The sequence below is a fragment of the Homo sapiens genome, chromosome 6 (assembly GCF_000001405.40).
Source record: "Homo sapiens chromosome 6, GRCh38.p14 Primary Assembly".
NCBI classification, from domain to species: domain Eukaryota; kingdom Metazoa; phylum Chordata; class Mammalia; order Primates; family Hominidae; genus Homo; species Homo sapiens.
This window is the reverse complement of record NC_000006.12, coordinates 8,460,451-8,479,518: the sequence shown is the minus strand read 5'-3', so window position 1 is coordinate 8,479,518 and position 19,068 is coordinate 8,460,451. Positions and strand designations below refer to the sequence as shown.

Below are 19,068 nucleotides of genomic sequence, written 5' to 3'. Positions count from 1 at the left end.
CCAAGCCTGGCTATTTTTTGTATTTTTAGTAGCAACAGGGTTTTGCCATTTTGGCCAGGCTCGTCTCAAACTCCTGACCTCAGGTGATCCACCTGCCTCGGCCTCCCAAAGTGCTGGGATTAGAGGAATAAGCCATGGCACCCAGCCCATTTACTCATTTTTTTAAATCTCTTTAAATAATAATTCATGGTTGAGAGAATGACTATGGCTAATGAGTTTAAAACAATAGTGAGAATGAATAAGATCTAGTATTTGATAGCACAACAGGGTGACTACAGTCAACAATAACTTATTGTACATTTTTAAATAACTAAAAGAGTACAATTGGATTATTTGTAACACAAAGAAAGGATAAATGCTTGAGGTAGTGAATACCCTCTTTACCCTGATGTGATTATTATGCATTGTATGCCTGTATCAAAATATGTCATGTACCCCATGACCATATGTGCCAATTATGTACCCACAAAAATTAAAAATAAACAAATAAGTATATATAATTCATGTTTTATGTTAATATAATTAATATTGATTCATGTTAATATAATTCCTATTTTAAAGAAAAATAAAAATGAATTATGAAATTTGTATGTAGAAATAATATAAATAGTAAGAATAGTCCAAAGACTAGAAAGTACAAATGAAGTAGTGTTTTAAGATTCTTAGAATATGTGTAAAGTGATATGGGTAGAAGGGGGTAAGTTAAAAATGTATACTGTAAACTCAAAAGCAACCACAAAAAAAAGAAAAATATATATTTAATAAGCTAATATTAAATAAATGTAATATAAAAAATCTGTTAACTCGAAAGAAGACAGAAAAAGAGAACAAAGGAGCAGAATAATAATAGATGTATTAAACAGAAAACAAATCCAACAAAAATGATGCAATAAATAAAAATGGTCTGAACATTCCAAATAAGAGGGAGAGATTATTAGGTTAGATTTTAAAAAACAAGACCCAATTGTGCAATGTCTACAAGAAAGCCATTTTAAATATAAAGAATACAAATAAATAAAACATAAAATAAATAAAACAAAAGGAGGGGAAATATTACATACCATAAAACATTATATAAATAATACTTGATATCAATAACAGACAAAGAAAATTTTGGAACAAAGATTAATTCCAGGGAAAAATAGGGTTGTTTGTTTGTTTTTTTAATAGTAAAGAGGTCAATTAGTAAAGAGACCAGAACAATCTTAAATTTGTATGCACCTAAAAAAACAGCTTCATAATACATGAAGCAAAATTGATAGACCTGAAAAGAGAAATAGAAAAACCCACAACTACAGTTGGAGATTTTGACACTCTTTTCTTAATAATTGATAAACAAGCAGAAAGAAAATCAGTAAAGATATTAAAAAGTTAATCAATACTGTCAATAAATTTGACTTAATTAATATTAATAGGATATTCCACCCTAAAGCTGAATACACATTCTTTCTAAGCATAAATAAAAAATTCATCAAGATACACCATATTCTAGGTCATAAAACAAGTCACAAATACTGTAAAATGATTAAAATCACAGAAAAATATGTTCTCTGGTCAAAACAGAATTAAAATACAAACCAATGCACAAAAGGTATCTAGCATATTTGGAAAATAAACCACGTACTTATAAATAACTAATGAACCAAAGAAGACATCACAAGGGAAATTTTTTTTTGAGACAGGGTCTCACTCTGTCTCCCAGGCTGGGGTGCTGTGGCACAATCTCGGCTCACTGCAGCCTCGACCTCCCAGGCTCAAGTGATCCTCCCACCTCAGCCTCCCCAGTAGCTGAGACCACAGGTGTGCACCATCACATCACACCCAGCTAATTTTTGTATTTTTTTGTAGAGATGGGTTTTTGTCATATTACCCAGGCTGGTCTGGAACTCTTGGGCTCAAGGGATACACCCACTTCAGCCTCCCAAAATGCTTAGATTATGGCATAAACCACCACACCCAAACTTATAACATATTTTAAACTGAATTAAAAAGACAACGCAGAACATCATAATTTGTCTGAAACAAAATAGTGATTGCAGAGATGTTCAAAGTATTAATTACTTATAAAAGGAGAAAAGTCTCAAATCAATGATCTAAGCTTCCACCTTAGGAAACTAGAAAAGATTAAAAAGAACAAATTAAACCAAAAGCAAACAGAAACAAAGAAACAGTAAAACCAAAAGCTGAAGGCAAAAGAGAGCATCACCACAGATCCTACAGACATTCAAACAAGTAATAAATATTATAAATGTGTGTTCTGAAAATTCCACAACTTAGATACAATAAAAATTTCCTCAAAAACACAAACTATCAAAGCTTCCTCAAGAACGAATCTCCCTATATCTATGAAAGAAATTTACTTTGTAGAAAAAAATCTTTACCTCAAAAAAATTCCAGGATCAGCTGGCTTAGTAGTGAATCCCACAAATATAAGAAAGTAATAGCACAAATACTACACCCTCAAAATCATTTTATGAGACCATAATTAATATCAAAACTATAAGATGACTATGTGGTAAAGAATTTTGTCTTGCCCTAAGAGAGGTCTAGCTTTGTCCACAGCTCCTAGGAGTAACCTCTAAACCCTTAGAATTTACCAAGTGATAAAATTGTCTTTGTTTTCCATGATTGGCCCCTCAGACCACACCTAATAGCTTATGTTAATAAGATGACTCATAGTGGATCCATCAGACTGCATATCAGCCCAGTCTCTAAGGACAGTGGGGCTAAATCAATCAATCATGCCTACATAATGAATTCTGGACATAGAAACTCAGGTGAATTTTCCTGGTTGTCAATACTTCACGTGTATTGTAACACATTGATCTGGGAAGATTAGGCATCCTGAGGACAATAGAAGCTTCCATGTTTGGAATTCTCCCAGACTGTGCCCTGCATGTCTCTTCCGTTGGATGATTTTAATGTATCCTTTCCCTGTAATAAACTGCAACTGTGAGTACAATCACTTTCAGTGAGTTCTGTGAGTCCTAGTGATTGTCAAATCTGAAAGTGATTTGGGGAAACCCTTGAACTTGCTGTTGGTGTTAGAAATCTTGGGAAGACTTTGGGGTCAGGAGGCATATGCCCTCAAACCTCAAAGTTTGACTAACTCCAGGTAACAACATTAGTAGAACAGTGCAAATCACCACCCCTCATAAATGTATATGCAAAAATCTTTAACAAAGTTTGAGAAAATAATCTTAAATATGTATGGTCAACTGATTTTCAATAAAGGTTTCAAGGCAATTAAATGGGGAAAGAAAAGTTTCTTCAACATCAAATACTAGAATTATTGGATAACCATATGCAGAAGGAAGGAAGGACCCTTACCTCACAAAAATGAACTCATATAATCTAATATATAAGCTAAAACTATCAAAAGTCTAGAAGAATGCATATGGGAGAAAAATTTTGTGAACTTAGGTTAAGCACATTTTTTTCTTAGGGTGAGAGATATAGAAAGTATTAACCATTTAAAAAATAACACATTGAGGCCAGGTGTGGTGGCTCATGCCTGTAATCCCAGCATTATGGGAGGCCAAGGCAGGTAGATCCCTTGAGGCTAGGAGTTCAAGACCAGTCTGGCCAACATGGCAAAACCCCATCTTTACCAAAAAATAACAAAAATTAGCATGGTGATGCCTGTAGTTCCTACTACTCAGGAGGCTGAGGCATGAGAATCGCTTCAAACCAGGAGGCAGAGGTTGCAGTGAGCCAAGATTTTGCCACTGAACTCCAGACTAGGGGAACATAGAGACTCTGTCTCAAAAAAATAAAAATTAAAATTAACACATTGAACTTTATCAAAATTTAAAACTGCTTTTAAATTTTAAAGACGAGATCAAGAAATGAAAAAAGCCACAGAACGGGAGAAAATATTTGCAATTCATATATCTAACAGAGTTTATCCTAGGACTACAAAGCAAGTTTCATATCAGAAAATTGATTATTATAAATCATTCATATTAATAAATTAAAGGAGATAAATCTTTGTGTATGCAGAAAAAGTAATAAAATTCAACATCCACTTGTGACTACTAAAGTAAATAAAAAAGAAAGAGAAAACTTAGTCAATGAGGGACAGAATAGAACTTTCTAAACCTGATAAAGGTATATTTTAAAAATCAGAGAGTAAGCATTATATTTAATAATAAAATGTTAAAAGTAATCTAAAGATACCTGCCATTACCATTGATTTTCACACTTTCATGGCTGTCCTAGCCAGTGCAGTAAGATAAAAAGAAAAGAGCAAAAGATGAAAGGAATTGGAAAAACAGAAAAAAAACTTATAATTACTCATGACTGTTTTATTTTCTTCAAGAAAATCCAAAGACATCTACAAATAAGTTTTATATTGGTGATGGCACAAACAATTTGGGGACAAAAAATCAGTGCAAAAAATTCAAATGCAAATGTTTACACCAGCAACAATCAAAAACATAACTTTTTAATGTGTACAATAGAAATTAAAATAACATGTATCAAGAAATAAATTCAACAAAATACAGGCATGCCTTTATGGATTAAATTATAAGGTTTTATTGAGAGACATTAAAGATTCCTAAGCAAATAGACAGATATCCCCTGTTGTTGAGTAGACCCTATCATGAATATGTATATTCTCCCAAAATTAATCTGTAGAGAATTCAAATTGAATCCCAACAGGATGTGCCATTGTTATTATTATTTTTGAAATTAAAGTTGATTTTATAATTTATTTGTAAGAACAAAAGCCCCCAAATAGCCACCAAGTTGGAGAGGAATGTTAAGCAAATGGATTTTAAGATTTACTATAAAGCTATATAACTAAGAACTGTAGTCTATATATATGCACAGATAAATAGACCCATGAATGGAATAGAAAGCCCAGAAACAAATGCATGCAAAAATGGTTTGTAATGACATATAATACATAGGAAACTTCAGATCACTGGGAAAAAGATGAGGTATTCCAAAGCTACTAGGCATTTTAATTACCCTTGTCAAAAACTGTTATCTGATTCCTACATCACACCATGCATATATCAAAAAGAAACAAATAGTTACTGGTTGATTGACAATCAATATGAAAGGCAAAAACATAAAGTCTTTAAAAGATAATATAAGAAAGCATCCTTATGACCTAAGGTAGAAAGTATTTCTTAAGCAAGACACAACATGAATCTATAAAGAAAATATTGATAAATTCAGCTACATTAAAAAGAAAGATGTCCGGTCATTAAAAGTTACCATAGAGTAAAAACATAAACTCCAAGCTAAAAGAAGATATTTGTGACACATTATTGAAAAAATCTTATATAGAGAATATATAAAGAATCCTGTGGGCCAGGCGTGGTGGCTCATGCCTGTAATCCCACCACTTTGGGAGGCCAAGATGGAAGGATTACTTGAGGCCAGGAGTTTGAGACCAGCCTGGCCATTATGGCAAAATACCATCTCTACAAATATTTGTTTAATTAGCCAGGTGATATGGCTAAGCTTTGTGTCCCCACCCAAATCTTATCTTGAATTGTAATCCCCATAAGCCCCATAATCCCTACATGTGAAGAGAGAGACCAGGTGGTGGTAATTGAATCATGGGGGCAATTTCCCCCATGCTGTTCTCGTGATAGCGACTGAGTTCTCACAAGATCTAACGGGTTTATAAGGGGCTCTTCCCCCTTCACTCGGCACTTCTTCCTACTGACTTGTGAAGAAGGCGCCTTTCTTTTCCTTCGCATTCCACCATGACTGTAAGTTTCCTGAGGCCTCCCCAGCCATGCTGAATTATGAGTCAATTAAACCTCTTTCCTTTTTAAGTTACCCAGTCTCGTGCAGTTATTTATAGCCAGGTGTGGTGGCGTACACCTGTGGTTCAGCTACTCAGAACGTTAAGGCAGGAGGACCACTTGAGCCTTGGAGGTCAAGACTGCAGTGAGCCATGATCATGCCATTGCACTCCAATCTGGACAACGGAGCAAGACCCTGTCTCAAAAAAACAAACAAATGAACAACAACAACAACAACAAAAACTAAGAATCAAGAAAAAAAGACAACCCCAAATTAAAATGACTTAGCTCTTCATAGAAGACAAAAAACGTGTGTGTGTGATTTTACACATACATATGTATATACACCAAAAAGTGCTCAACCTCACTATATCAATAGTAATCAGAGAAATAAAAATTAATCACAGTGCAACATTATTTTATACCAATGAATTGAAAAAACTAAAATCAGACAACACAGTGTTAACAAAGTGTAGATATATAATATATGCTGCTGGAGGTCGTATAAATTGGTACAACATCTTTGGAAAACAGTTTGACATTACCTAATAAATTTGAATGTGCCTACCTTACGATTCAGTGAGTCAACCCCTAAGAGTATACTTAGAAACTCTTGCACATGCATACTAGAGTATTCATACAAACATAGTCATAGCAGCCTTGCTCATAACTGTAAAACCTGAAATGGCTATAATACCAATCAACAGTACAATGGAAAAATAATTTATTATATTCACACAATGAAATAGTACGCAGCAGTGAAAATAAATTAGTTACATATATTTACACCAACATAGATGAATCAAAAACATAACATTGAACAAAATAAGTTAGAGAAAATTTGTGCAATTTGTTTTCGTTATGTAAATATCATCAATGGAGGCCAGGTGTGGTGGTTCACACCTGTAATCCCAGCATTTTGGGAGGCCGAGGCAGGCGAATCACTTGAGGTCAGGAGTTCCAGACCAGCCTGGCCAACATGGTGAAATCTCATCTCTGCCAAAAATACAAAAAATTAGCCAGGTGCAGGGGCATGTGTCTGTAGTCCCAGCTACTCGGGAGGTTGAGGCACAAGAATCGCTTGAACCAATATTGTGCCACTGCACTCCAGCCTGGTTGACAGAGCGAGACTCCGTGTCAAAATAAATAAATAAATAAATAAATAAATAAATATCATCAATGGATAAGCCTAAATCATATATTATTCACATAATAGGAAAACTATAAAGATAAAGAAAAGCAAGGAAAAAGTGAACACAACAACCATTTTCCTGTGACCATTGGGAGGAAAGGAGAGGTTGGGAGGAGAATGAATTCAAGAAGGGTCGGTTACAAAAGTAACATCAAGGCTATATTTTATGTCTTGACCCGGGTAATCAATTTGTGGTTGCTCTTTTTATTATTACTCTTTGCACTGGACATAAACTTTTGTGTATTCTTTTGTATGCACAATAAATTTCACAATAAAAAATAAACCAAAAGTTAAAAGCCCAAAACAGAATACATATTTTCAATAAGAAAACAATAGTGTGTGTATGTATGTGTGTTTATGTATATATGTTATGTGTATGTGTGTGTGTGTGTGTGTGTGTCACCCAATCAGACTAAAACTTCTATAAAATCCTAACAATGAAAACTGTGGAAATAGGGTAGGAATAGACAAAAAAACTAAAACAGATTATCTAAGAACAAATATAGCCTAAAAACAGTCCCATGTATGTGTGGAACTTGTTATGTGATAGAGGGACATTGCAAATCTCTGGGGAAATGACTCAATAAATGGTACTCAGACAATAAATACACAAACAGAATGGTTAATTCTTATTTGGAATAACATATGTGTCTTCCCAGAGAGCAGAGAGTTACTGATGAATGCCCCATCCTTGGGGTCAGGGGGTTGCATTTCAATCCCTCCTCCGGGTACCGAGAGTAAGGGCCTGAGTCCCTTCACCTCCCTGCGACTCACTTCACTCAGCAGTAAAATGGGGGTGATAGAATGATAGTCCTTGCCTCATGGCCTTGTTAGGATTAAGTGAAGCAATCTACTTCTAGTATTTAAAGAAGCGCCTGCCCGTGGACAAATACTCAATAAATGGCTAGCTCCCAACCTTATTCAACAGTAAGTTTCCAAAGTTACGGACTTAATGTGGTAAGAGGTAAAAAAGGCTTTTAAAAATCATTATTTGTTACTTCTCTGTCTCAAGCAACTGACTTTGACTTTGAACAGCTTGAGAGTAGCAATTATGCCTATCCAACTTCACATATTCAGTACCTAACACAAAATTTGCCACGTAATAGATGCTCAAGAAATAAGACTTTGTGTTGATTTGAACTAAGCAAAGAAAAAGTAGCATTACTAAAAAAAGGAGAAGAGTCATTGTGGGTGTTGGAAAATGCCACCGCTTTTCATTACTGTGTGGAGAAAAACAAAGCAGTGTTCTAAAGGACAAATATAATGGATTCCCAAGGTTATGCTACTGTGAACTTATGCCACTGTGGAAGAGGAATTAGAATCAGTCATTCCAAAATGTAAAATACCATGGAAGATAAAGACATAAAACAGAGTATGCTTTAAGCGAATAGCCCAATTAGCCAAACACCAGGGAGAACTTAAATCAGAATGTACCTTTATATGAGAACAAGCAGCGATGATTAATATTGAAAGGAAAAAGGAAAAAGCACCAAAAAAGTACAGCAATTATGCAGTAATGTGCTATCTCATAGAAAAATCACAAAAGAAAAATCTATAGTTAAATGCATCCACATAATTTATTTGTGAGATACTTGTAGATTTCCATAATTAACATAATCCATATCAGCAAAAATCAAAACAGATGAAAAAATGTATATTGTCCATCTTCAAAGAATATCTGTGCCAAATTAGCAAATGTTATAGCAAAATAATGTTCAGGGTTGCTTAATTCTAATATTTTGATAATCACTGATTTGTGGTTTCATCAAAATTCAATGTCTTGGAAGAAATGTGAGTTTCTTAGTGAATTAATTGATATCATTACTAAAAATATTGAAGAAAATCTATTTTATTTGAAATTCACATCATAGACATTCCTTCAGGTGACATAAAAAATTTCATAATCTTTCATTTTTTAAATGAGATTTTTTAAATCTACAATACATAAAAATTTATAGCAACATTTTCAAAAGTTTGTCTTCTTTTAAAAATATATAGCCAAGCAGTTTAAATGTCAGGAGAACTATGATGAGATATTTCTCTCTAAAAAGGTATATTTTCAATTTCATGACCAAAAAAGAGAATCTAAAAAGCTCTGTTGATTTTGCTTTTTCATGATCATTCCAGAAATGATGTACTGTATATCAAAACTACATCTTCCAAGCTATTACATTTCACCATCTGGTTAACCTTATCAGTAAAGCACTAGAAAACAAATTCCACTCATTAGAATTTCATCCACTCTGCAGAGTTATCCTGACTATAAAGAGTTGCCCAAAACTAAGATAAATTATTATGGAGAACAGAAATGGGCTACATTAACTGTGCATGATTGGATTCAACTAGAAGAACTGAACCTATAACAAATCTTATCGTGTAATGCTGGTGATAGTGGCACAAATATAGATTAGAAAATGCTGGTTTACCTTTACCCAACACAGCATAAGTTGACTGAAAATATATCCAGATACAGACACATTTAGACTTTTAGAGTTTTTAAAAATAAGTATGTTTGAGCCACAAGGGTATCTTCATGTTCTGTAACACTTCTCATACTCTTCTCTGTTTCTGAAACAAGACAGATTTGATGCAAAAATTATTATGATTCTAGCATAGTGACAAAACTAACACCTCCATAAGTAACAGAACTCATGAAAATTTAGGACCGAATTTAGATTTAGGCCAAGAGCCTAAAACACTATTCAAAGTATGGTCTTAGGAAATATATATTTTAGCCTGAAGAGTTTATAGAATAGTCCCAGAAGGTTTCACTGGTATTACATAGAAGCTAGCATCCACATGCCTATACCCTTTTCATCTTTGCCTGGATTAAGTGCAGGCGGGAGGTGGCTTTACAACTGAAATTGTGGCACAAGAAAATTATTTGTGGTCTAAAATATTATGAGGATAATGCTCAAAGAACAAAGACTCAGTAAATATTCATGTTTGCTTTGAAGAATGTAATGATCATGGCTATGATTATGACTTTTGGTAGTTCAAAAGCTCTTCTCATTTCTCTCCACACGTTAAGAAATCAGTTTGGAGTTTCACCCACAAGAGTATTCCATGCCACTCCTCACAGTTTTTCCTTTCATTCCCATAGAATGCCAAAAACTTTCAAAATGCATTACCATGCAAATGTCTTGGGTGCCTTTACTACACATTTATATTGCAAGGTAATCAATAAACTATTATTTCAATATTTATTGGAATCTCAGAATAAGAAAGAAGATAGATTACACAAATTCATCTTCTGTGATTAATGGATGTTCCAGCAGAAGGCATACACTGATGGAGTAGGTCAGTATGCAGACTATATTACTGAATATTTCAACTCGGGCTGTAAATATAGTATCTGTTTCTCTTAGGGACTGTCACACTGAGTGCAGTATAAAAGGCAATAAATTTCAACAGATTAATTAACTCTTTGGTTACTGGGGCTGTGTGTCACCTATCCTGGCACCTAATAAAAATTCCTTTAATGCCAAGACATAAAGAAGGGCCTCTTTGGAAATGAGTTATTAACAGCATTTCGTGAATAGATGGAGAAATTGTAGCCGAGCCATTTAAGTGTCATAAAGTGCAGCAAAGGCTGCTGGAGGCCTCTGAGGGACGCCAGGCAATACCATAACAATCAAATCTGAGATGGAAGAGGGATTGAGCTGTCCACTCAGAATTTTTATATTGTCAAAGAGCAGCGAGGAAATAATGTGATCAAGAAGTGAATTAACCTTGTGTGTGAAAGAAAGGGGATGATCTGATGGAAAAGGCAGTAAAGTAAAAATCACTCCATAATGCCTACATTGCAGCAGAGCCATGAGGGGCCCCTAATGTCTGCAGGCTGTCAGAGAGCAGATCCAGACCTCTAAGTACTATAAACCCATTACCTGCATTAGCCTATAATTGGAATACATTTATTCATGCTTTTTTAGTTCTTCAGGGTCTCCGCATTGTATACCCACAGAGCATTAATTCCTATAAATGTTCTACCTTTGCACACTCCTGAAAATGGCTATACAGTCTTGGGTGGAAATTAACATTCAGTGAGAGAGGAAGAAAGTGCTGCATATGTAGTACAAGGTTCATATCCATTATCCAGCTCGTACTATGTTGTTTAATTTAGCACCTGGGCTACTCCACCCAAATAATCTTCGGATGCTTTCTGATGAATGTCTAGATATCACATTTTTAATATTTTTCTATTTCAATGTAAGAGCTCCAACAGGCAGAAGATAATAAATATCAAATACTAACCCATGTTTTTTACTAATGGTCAGATAACTATCTTTGAAACTGTAAATTTCATTTCATCTCTTGAGGTTGCATCTCAATATATGGCACTTTTTATAAAGGTCCACACATAATCCAAAAAGCATGTAGAAATAACAATAAAATTTAAATCAATAATTTCTTTCTGAAGATAACACTTCGGCCTAAGTTACTTAGGAGAATCAAACCCAGCAAACACTAGCAAGTAGGTGCCTCAGACATACAGCATTTTCCCTGTACCAGCGCTGCTCTGAATACTTTACGTACATTAACTTAGGTCACTTTGACAACTCTATGAGGCAGGTATTGTAATTACTATCTTCATTTTATTGATGCGGAAACTGGAGCACAGAGAGGTTAAGTAAATAACCCAAATATCCCAAGTTCACACAGCTGATTTAAAAATCTCTGTCTAGGGGTCTGGGTTCTTGGCCACTTTGCAAAATTGCCTTGCCAAAAAAATAGTTAACAGACCCAACATACAAATATTCTATTTGTATTCTACTAATTAATCTTAAAGTTAGGTATGACTATGCATAGATGCGTGTGTGCATGTTGTTTGCAGGGATTTTACTCCTTCCGCTGTCCCTCGTTCCTCCTGCATTATCAATCATTCTCTCTGTATGGGAATGTTCCCACTGGCATAAGATGTGCTCTAATCTCTCCTACTCTTACTTCCATCTCCTTGATCCAACACCCCACTGTAGCAACCCTTGCTCCTTCCCAGGACAACTTCTCCAAGCAGTTGTATTTACACACTGTCTCTACTTCCTCATGTCCTATTCACTCATAAGCCCCTTAGGAATCTGCCTCTTCCCCCACCACAGAAACTACTGTGCTAAACCCAAAGGTCACTTTTACATCTTCATTCTGCTCAACCTTTTGGCAAATGGGAAACAATTACCACTCCCTCCTTCTTGGAAATTGCTCCCTTTGTGGCTTCCCTGGCAACATTACTTTCTGCCTTTCTTCCTCCTGACCACTTTTCTGGTCTCCCTTCGCTGCCACCTCCTCCTTTCCCCAAGCTAGGGTATGGGGGTTCTTCAGAGCCTGGCTCTGGGCCTCCTCTGCCACTTTTCATCCACACCCCCACAGTTGACTAATCCGCTACATGGATTCAAAACTCATCTTTTGGCTCATTATGCTTATGTCTTTACCTCCTCTTTTCATTCCAAATGTAAATATCCAACTGCTCCCTGACATCTCAATTTAGATGTCTGACAGACCTCTCAGCTTTAACATATAGAATAGAACTCTTGACTGGGGGTGGTGGCCTATGCCTGTAATCCCAGCACTTTGGGAAGCCAAGGCAGGTGGATCACCTGAGGTCAGGAGTTCGAGACCAGCCTGGCCAACGTGGCAAAACCCCATCTCTACTAAAAATACAAAAATTAGCCAGGCATGGTGGTGGGCGCCTGTAATCCCAGCTACTCGGGAGGCTAAGGCAGGAGAATCGCTTGAACCCGGGAGGCAGAGGTTGCAGTGAGCCGAGATTGTGCCATTGCACTCCAGCCTGGTGCAGTGCAATGAGACTGCACTGTCTCAAATGAGATAGACTGTGTCTGAAAATAATAATAATAAATAGAATAGAACTCTTAATTTTTCCACACAACTCTGGTCTTCCCACCAAAACAAAACAAAAAAAGATACTACATTCTATGCAGTTGCATAAGCCAGAAATCCAGGTCATCTTGGTCCTCTCCATTTCTTCTCATGCTTCACATCCAATTCGTCAGCATGTTCTGTTTATTCTGATCTGTGTCATTTGTCTGATATTGGTTGAAGGGTGGATATTTTATCCAGCTCTGACCACCAGGAATGAGGGGAAGATTTTCTTCATCTATGAAAAGACACAGGAGGAAATGCCTGTCTGGCCCAGGGGATGGCTGAAGCTGCTGCTGCTTTGTGGTTCTGTGAGGAGACATCATCGACATAGCAAGAATAACAGAGCAGAAAGATGGTGAGGACCTGGGTGTTGACTGGGCCACTGACTTGACCAGTGCTGCGGGTATACTACCTGTGCACCTCTTATTATGGGACAAAATAAACTCCTCATAACTTTAGTTGGGTCTTGTGTTATTTGAAGCCAGAAGCAAACTAAGTGCCACTTCTCTTCTGTATCATTTATCTGCATAACAAATTACCTCAATATTTAGTGGTTTAAAATGACAATAAATATCTCCCAGTTCCTTTGGGTCAGGAATTCAGAAGTGGCTTAGCTGGGTGGTCCTGGTTTGGGGGGTGTCTCATGAAGTTGTAGATGTGATGTCGACTGGGGCTACAGTCAATGGAAGGCTTAACTGGAGCAGGTGGATCCACTTCCACAGTGGTTCATTCACATTCACAAATTAATGTTTGCTGTTGGCAGAGGCCTCAAGCTCCTTGCACATGGGATTCTCTGCAGGCTGCTGCAAGTCCCCACAACATAGCAGCCGACTTTTCCCAGAATGAGAGATCCAACAGCAAGCGAGTCACGTAGAAGCTGAAGCTGTTCTTTTTAATGGCCTAACCTCAGAAATCACATAGCATCACTTCTACCACATTCTATTCACTAGGAAAGAACCACTGAGTCCAGCCCAGATATAAGAGATGGACATTAGGTGCCATCTTAGGAAAGAATTTGCAGACGTTTTTACAATTTCTTTTTATTTTTTAATTGAAAAATAATTGTGCATACATACTTATGAGGTATACAGCGATGTTTCAATACATATAATGTATAGTGGTAATTATTTCAAAGCCACCACATACACCTTTTCTCACTGCATTCTAGTCCCAGTCATCTTCTTTCAGTTCCTAGAATTTGCTAAACTCCTTTTTACCTCCAAGTTCTTTCACATGTCCATACATCTGTCTGGGAGGTTTCCCTCCTGGCTGACCTTCCCTGAATACCTTGCTTTCGCCACCCCATTAATCTCTATCCTTGTCCCCTGCATGTTGCATGATGGAAGGGCCAGCTGTTGTCTAGTTTACCATTATATGCCCAATTCTTAACACAGTGTCTGGCAGGTAGCAGGCACTCAAAAAATAGTTACTGAATGAATGAATGAAAAAAGAATATAAGTATGCATCCACAAAATGTTTTTAGAGAGCTACAAAAACCATTCAGCAAAATCATTCAGGCGAAAATGTCTAACATGATAAGGTGCTTAAGAAGTTTAATATGGAAAGTGACATTCTAGCTATCTTTTGAATATTTAAAGGGCTATCATTGGGGAAAAGATTAAATTTATCCTTTATTATTCATGGAGTAGAATTAGAATGAATGGTTAGAAATTATGGGAAAACAGTTTAGTTGAATAAAAGAAAGACCTTTCTAACAATTAGAGTTATCTAAAAAACTGAAGCCAGTTGACTTACAAGACAGTAATTTTCCTATCATTGGAAATGTCCAAACATATATTATAAGACCACCTGCATATCATGTCAGAGAAGAAATTCAGATATTGGATACCAAATGGACCAGATGGCCCTCAGACCCTCCCTTTTTTTTTTTTTTTTTTTTTTGCATTCTAGGATTCTGTAATACAAGCCTTAACAAAATATACATTTATCTCAGTTCATTTGTGGTTTTATAACAGAATGCTAAAGACTGGGTAATTTATAATAATAGAATTTTATTTTATCATAGTTCTAGAGGCTGAGAAGTCCAAGATCAAGGCAGTCGCAAAATCAGTTTCTGGTGAGGCACCATTCCTCATTGATGACACTTTGCTACTGCATTCTCACATGGGGGAAGATGGAAGGGAAAGGCAGTCAGGTAGCTCTCTGAAGCCTCTTTTACAACGGCATTAATCCATTCATAAAGGCTACACCTTTGTGAATTAATCACTTCCCAAAGACTCTCATCTTTTAATACTGTCATATTGGGGATTCAGTTTCAACACAGAAATCCTGGGTGGGACAAAACATTCAAACCATAGCATATTTTAAAAGTTCTAACAACTTGGGGAACATAACAAAGAGATAAACATTCAAGAAACATTTAAGGAAAAAAGAAGACTTCTCTCTATACTGTCATGCTTTGGGAAATCTTGTTTATGCAGAAAACAAAAAAAAATTTTAACGCTTCTATTTCTAATTATTATAATAATGTATTTATTTTTAAAATGTAAATATTGTCATATATTGATGTAATATAGGCATTGACCTCAGAAGAGCTAAAGAAATTTTAACTGAATGCTTAACTATAAGGCATATTTTCTGATTTCTCTGGTTTCTAGAAATAATAAACTACATAAGTTTTAGTTTCTACCCCTGCACTAAAGCAATTTTTAAACCCTGCAATAAAAAAAAAAAAGATTATTCTTTAAGAAATAACAGAAATATCCTTTAATAGGTGAATACACAAACAGTGGCACATCCATGCCGTGCCATGCCATGCCATGGAATTTTATTCAACAATAAAAAGGAATGAACAATCAAGCCAGCAAAAGACATGTAGGAATTTTAAATGCATATTGCTAAGCAAAAAAAAAAAAAGCCTATCTAAAAAGGATATATACTGTATGATTCCAACTATATGACCTTCTGAACAAGGCAAAACTATGGAGACAGTAAAAAGATCAGTTGTTGCCAAGGGTTCAGGGGAAGGAGGGATAAATAGGTGGGGCACAAGAAATTTTTAGGGCAACAAAACTACTTGTACAATAGTGTACTGATGAATACATGTCACTACACATTTGTCCAAACTTATAATGTAAAAGAGTGGACTCTAACATAAACTTTAGTTAATAATAATGGATCAGTATATGGGAACTCTGTACTTTCTGCTCACATTTTGTGCAAATCACTACACAGGTTCCATATTATATATATATATGCAATATATATATTTTATTACATATATAAATCATTGCAGTGATATTTAAGTACAAATTGTAAGAAACAAGTACTAAGGTATTTGAATCAGGCAGAGAAAGAGGCAATAATTAGGTGTAAAATAGTTGATCCAAACTTTGAAGGATTGTAGAATTTGGAGAAAAAAAAAAACAGAAAAAAAAGATACAATCTAAGCTACTGAAACAAAACAAAGAAAGGCACAAAAGGGGAAACACTACTAGTAGGGGTACTTCTATCAATAATAATGAATATTATAAATATTCATATATGACACTGAAGAAATTGGCCTTGATTGGGCTTGTGATTTATTATGAATTCAAAAAATAATTTAATTGACCAAGACACTGTGATAGGGTCACAACGTTTCCAGATGTTCCTAGTCATCAATTCTGCCCTCCAAAGGCTTGCTGGATGGCATGTGTTGCCACTCTTCAAAGTCATAAAGATGAGAATTCATGATTTCATAAAACAAAGAGTAAATCAAGGAAGTAGGGTAAACATTTGGACAGCAGACTGCACAACTCTACCAACCCCCACTACTGCTAGTCAGGCAGAACTTTCTGGCTTAGGTGTCAGCACAGCAGCCCCACTCCTACCTGAACTCTGCCAGGTGACACAGTTCTGTGTTCTTCTGGGAAACACCTGGACAACAGTCCATGCTATTTCATCCACCCCTGCTGCTCCTAGCCAGACAAGACTTATTGGTATGGGTGGCACCCAAGCAGGGGAGGAGCCCCCACTCCCAGAACACTGAGAGGAGTGAGACACGTGAATTCATGGGCCGATGGGGGAACAAGATATGCCTCCTTCTGCAGGGCCATCCAGGAAAAGGTATGGCCTGTCTGCCAACCATGGCCTCTCCCTGAGGGAAAGAAACGTGAGTGTGGCACCAGTTATCAGAGGAGGCTCCTCCAAGGCTCTGGAGCAAACCTGTAAAGATGTCATCTCTCTCCCCCGCCATCATACAGCACTACCGAGAACGTGCTAAAATACAAAAGAGCCACATGACTGAGAAAGAACCTATCTGCCAGCCTTCACTATTAAGTGCCATCTACTGGATCACAGTCCAAATTACAATGCCAAAAATATTTTGCCAGTACACAGTGTCTCTGAAACCCTAGGCAAAAATCCAGCCACAAATAAAGATCCTATATAGAGCCTTGCACTCTGAAAGTACCTAGAAATGAAGCCAACTGACTATATTTATCTTACATCACAGTTAAAGGAACACCAGCTCTCTCAGATGAGAAAGAACAAATGCAAGACACTCTGGCTTTTTCCGGCAACTGAAAAAGCCAGAGTGTCCCCTTACCTCCAAACAAATGCACTAGTCCCCAGGCAATAGTTCTTAACCAGACTAAAATTATTGTAATGACAGAGATAGAATTCAGAATCTGGATGGCAAGGAAGCTAATCGAGACCCAGGAGAAAGTTGAAAAACAATCCAAGGAATCCAGTAAAATGATTCAAGACCTGAGAGGTAAAATAGTCATTTTTAAGAAAGAACCAAACTGAACTTCTGGAATTAAAGAATTCACTATAAAAATTTCATAATATAGTCAGAAACATTAATGACAGAATAGACCAAGCTGACAAAAGAATCTCAGAGCTCAAAAGCAAGCTCTTCAAGTCAACCCAGTCAGACAAAAATACAGAAAAAGGAATTTCAAAAAATGAACAAAACCTCCAATAAATATGAGATTATATAAAGAGACCAAATCTATGACTCATTGACATTTCTGAGAGAGAAGAGGGAGTAAACAACTTGACAAACATATTTAAGGATATAGTCCATGAAAACTTCCTCAGTCTCACTAGAGGGGTGGACACGCAAATTCAAGAAATACAGAGAACCCCTGTGAGCTACTGTACAAGATGACCATCTCCAAGATACATAGTCATAAGATTCACCAAGGTCAATGCAAAAGGGAAAACCTTAAAGGCATCTAGAGAGAAAGGTCAGGTCACTTATAAAGAGAATCTCGGCCGGGCACAGTGGCTTACGCCTGTAATCCCAGCACTTTGGGAGGCTGAGGCGGGTGGATTGCCTGAGCTCAGGGGTTTGAGACCAGCCTGGGCAACGTGACAAAACCCCGTCTCTACTAAAAATACAAAAATTAGATGGGTATGGTGGCACATGCCTGTAATCCCAGCTGCTTGGGAGGCTGAGGCAGGAGAATTGCTTGGACCCAGGAGGCAAAGTTTGCAGTGAGACAAGATCATGTCACTATACCCCAGCATGGGTGACAAAGCAAGACTCTGTCTCAAAACAAACAAACAAAAAAAGAATCTCAGGAAACCATCAGCAGGCATCTCAGCAGAAGCCTTATAAGCCAGAAAGGAAACATCCTCAAAGAAAAGAAATTCCAGCCAAAAGAATTTCATATCCCTCCAAACTAAGCTTCATAAGCAAAGGAGAAATAAAATTCTTCTCAGAAAAGCAAACATTAAGGGAATTCATTGCCACCAGACCAACCTTACGAGAGATCCTTAAGGGAGTGCTAAACATAGAAATGAAAGATTGATACCTGCCAGCACAAAAACACACTCAAGTACATAGCCCACAGAAAATACAAAGCAATTATACAACCAAGTCTACAAAACAACCAGATAACAATATGATGACATAATCATAACCTTACATATCAATATTAATCCTGAATGTAAATGGTTTAAATGTCCCACTTCAAAGGCACAGGGTGGCAAAGTAGATAAAAACACAAGGCCCAAAGTAAAGGGAGAAAGATCTACCATGCAAACAGAAAACAAAAAAGAGCAGGAATCACTATGTTTATGTCATATAAAACAGACTTTAAATCAATAACAATCAAGAAGCACAAAGAAGGGCATTACAAAATGATAAAGGGTTCCATTCAAAAAGAAGACTTAACTATCCTAAATACATATCCACCAAACACTGGAGCACGAAGATTCATAAAAAAAAAAGATCTTCTTGACCTACAAAAAGACTTGACCAGTCACAGAATAATAATAGGG

The 19,068-nt window shown here is 36.4% G+C and overlaps 1 long non-coding RNA gene across 2 annotated transcripts in view, besides 2 other annotated features; it reads right to left on the bottom strand.

Moving 5' to 3' along the window:
* The window catches only part of LOC100506207 (uncharacterized), a 349,823-nt gene that overhangs the window by 305,927 nt on the left and 24,828 nt on the right, over nt 1-19,068 (bottom strand). The gene's annotated exons all lie outside the window — the stretch shown is intronic.
* Nucleotides 3,489-3,658: an enhancer, noted in NCBI's record as "experimental_96161 CRE fragment used in MPRA reporter constructs". NCBI's record gives its function as "activates a minimal promoter by MPRAs in K562 erythroleukemia cells, with activity observed for the introgressed 6:8476179 variant allele {active_cell/tissue: K562}" and the evidence as "EXISTENCE:reporter gene assay evidence [ECO:0000049][PMID:34662402]".
* Nucleotides 10,065-10,234: an enhancer, noted in NCBI's record as "experimental_96153 CRE fragment used in MPRA reporter constructs". NCBI's record gives its function as "activates a minimal promoter by MPRAs in K562 erythroleukemia cells, with activity observed for both the introgressed and non-introgressed 6:8469603 variant alleles {active_cell/tissue: K562}" and the evidence as "EXISTENCE:reporter gene assay evidence [ECO:0000049][PMID:34662402]".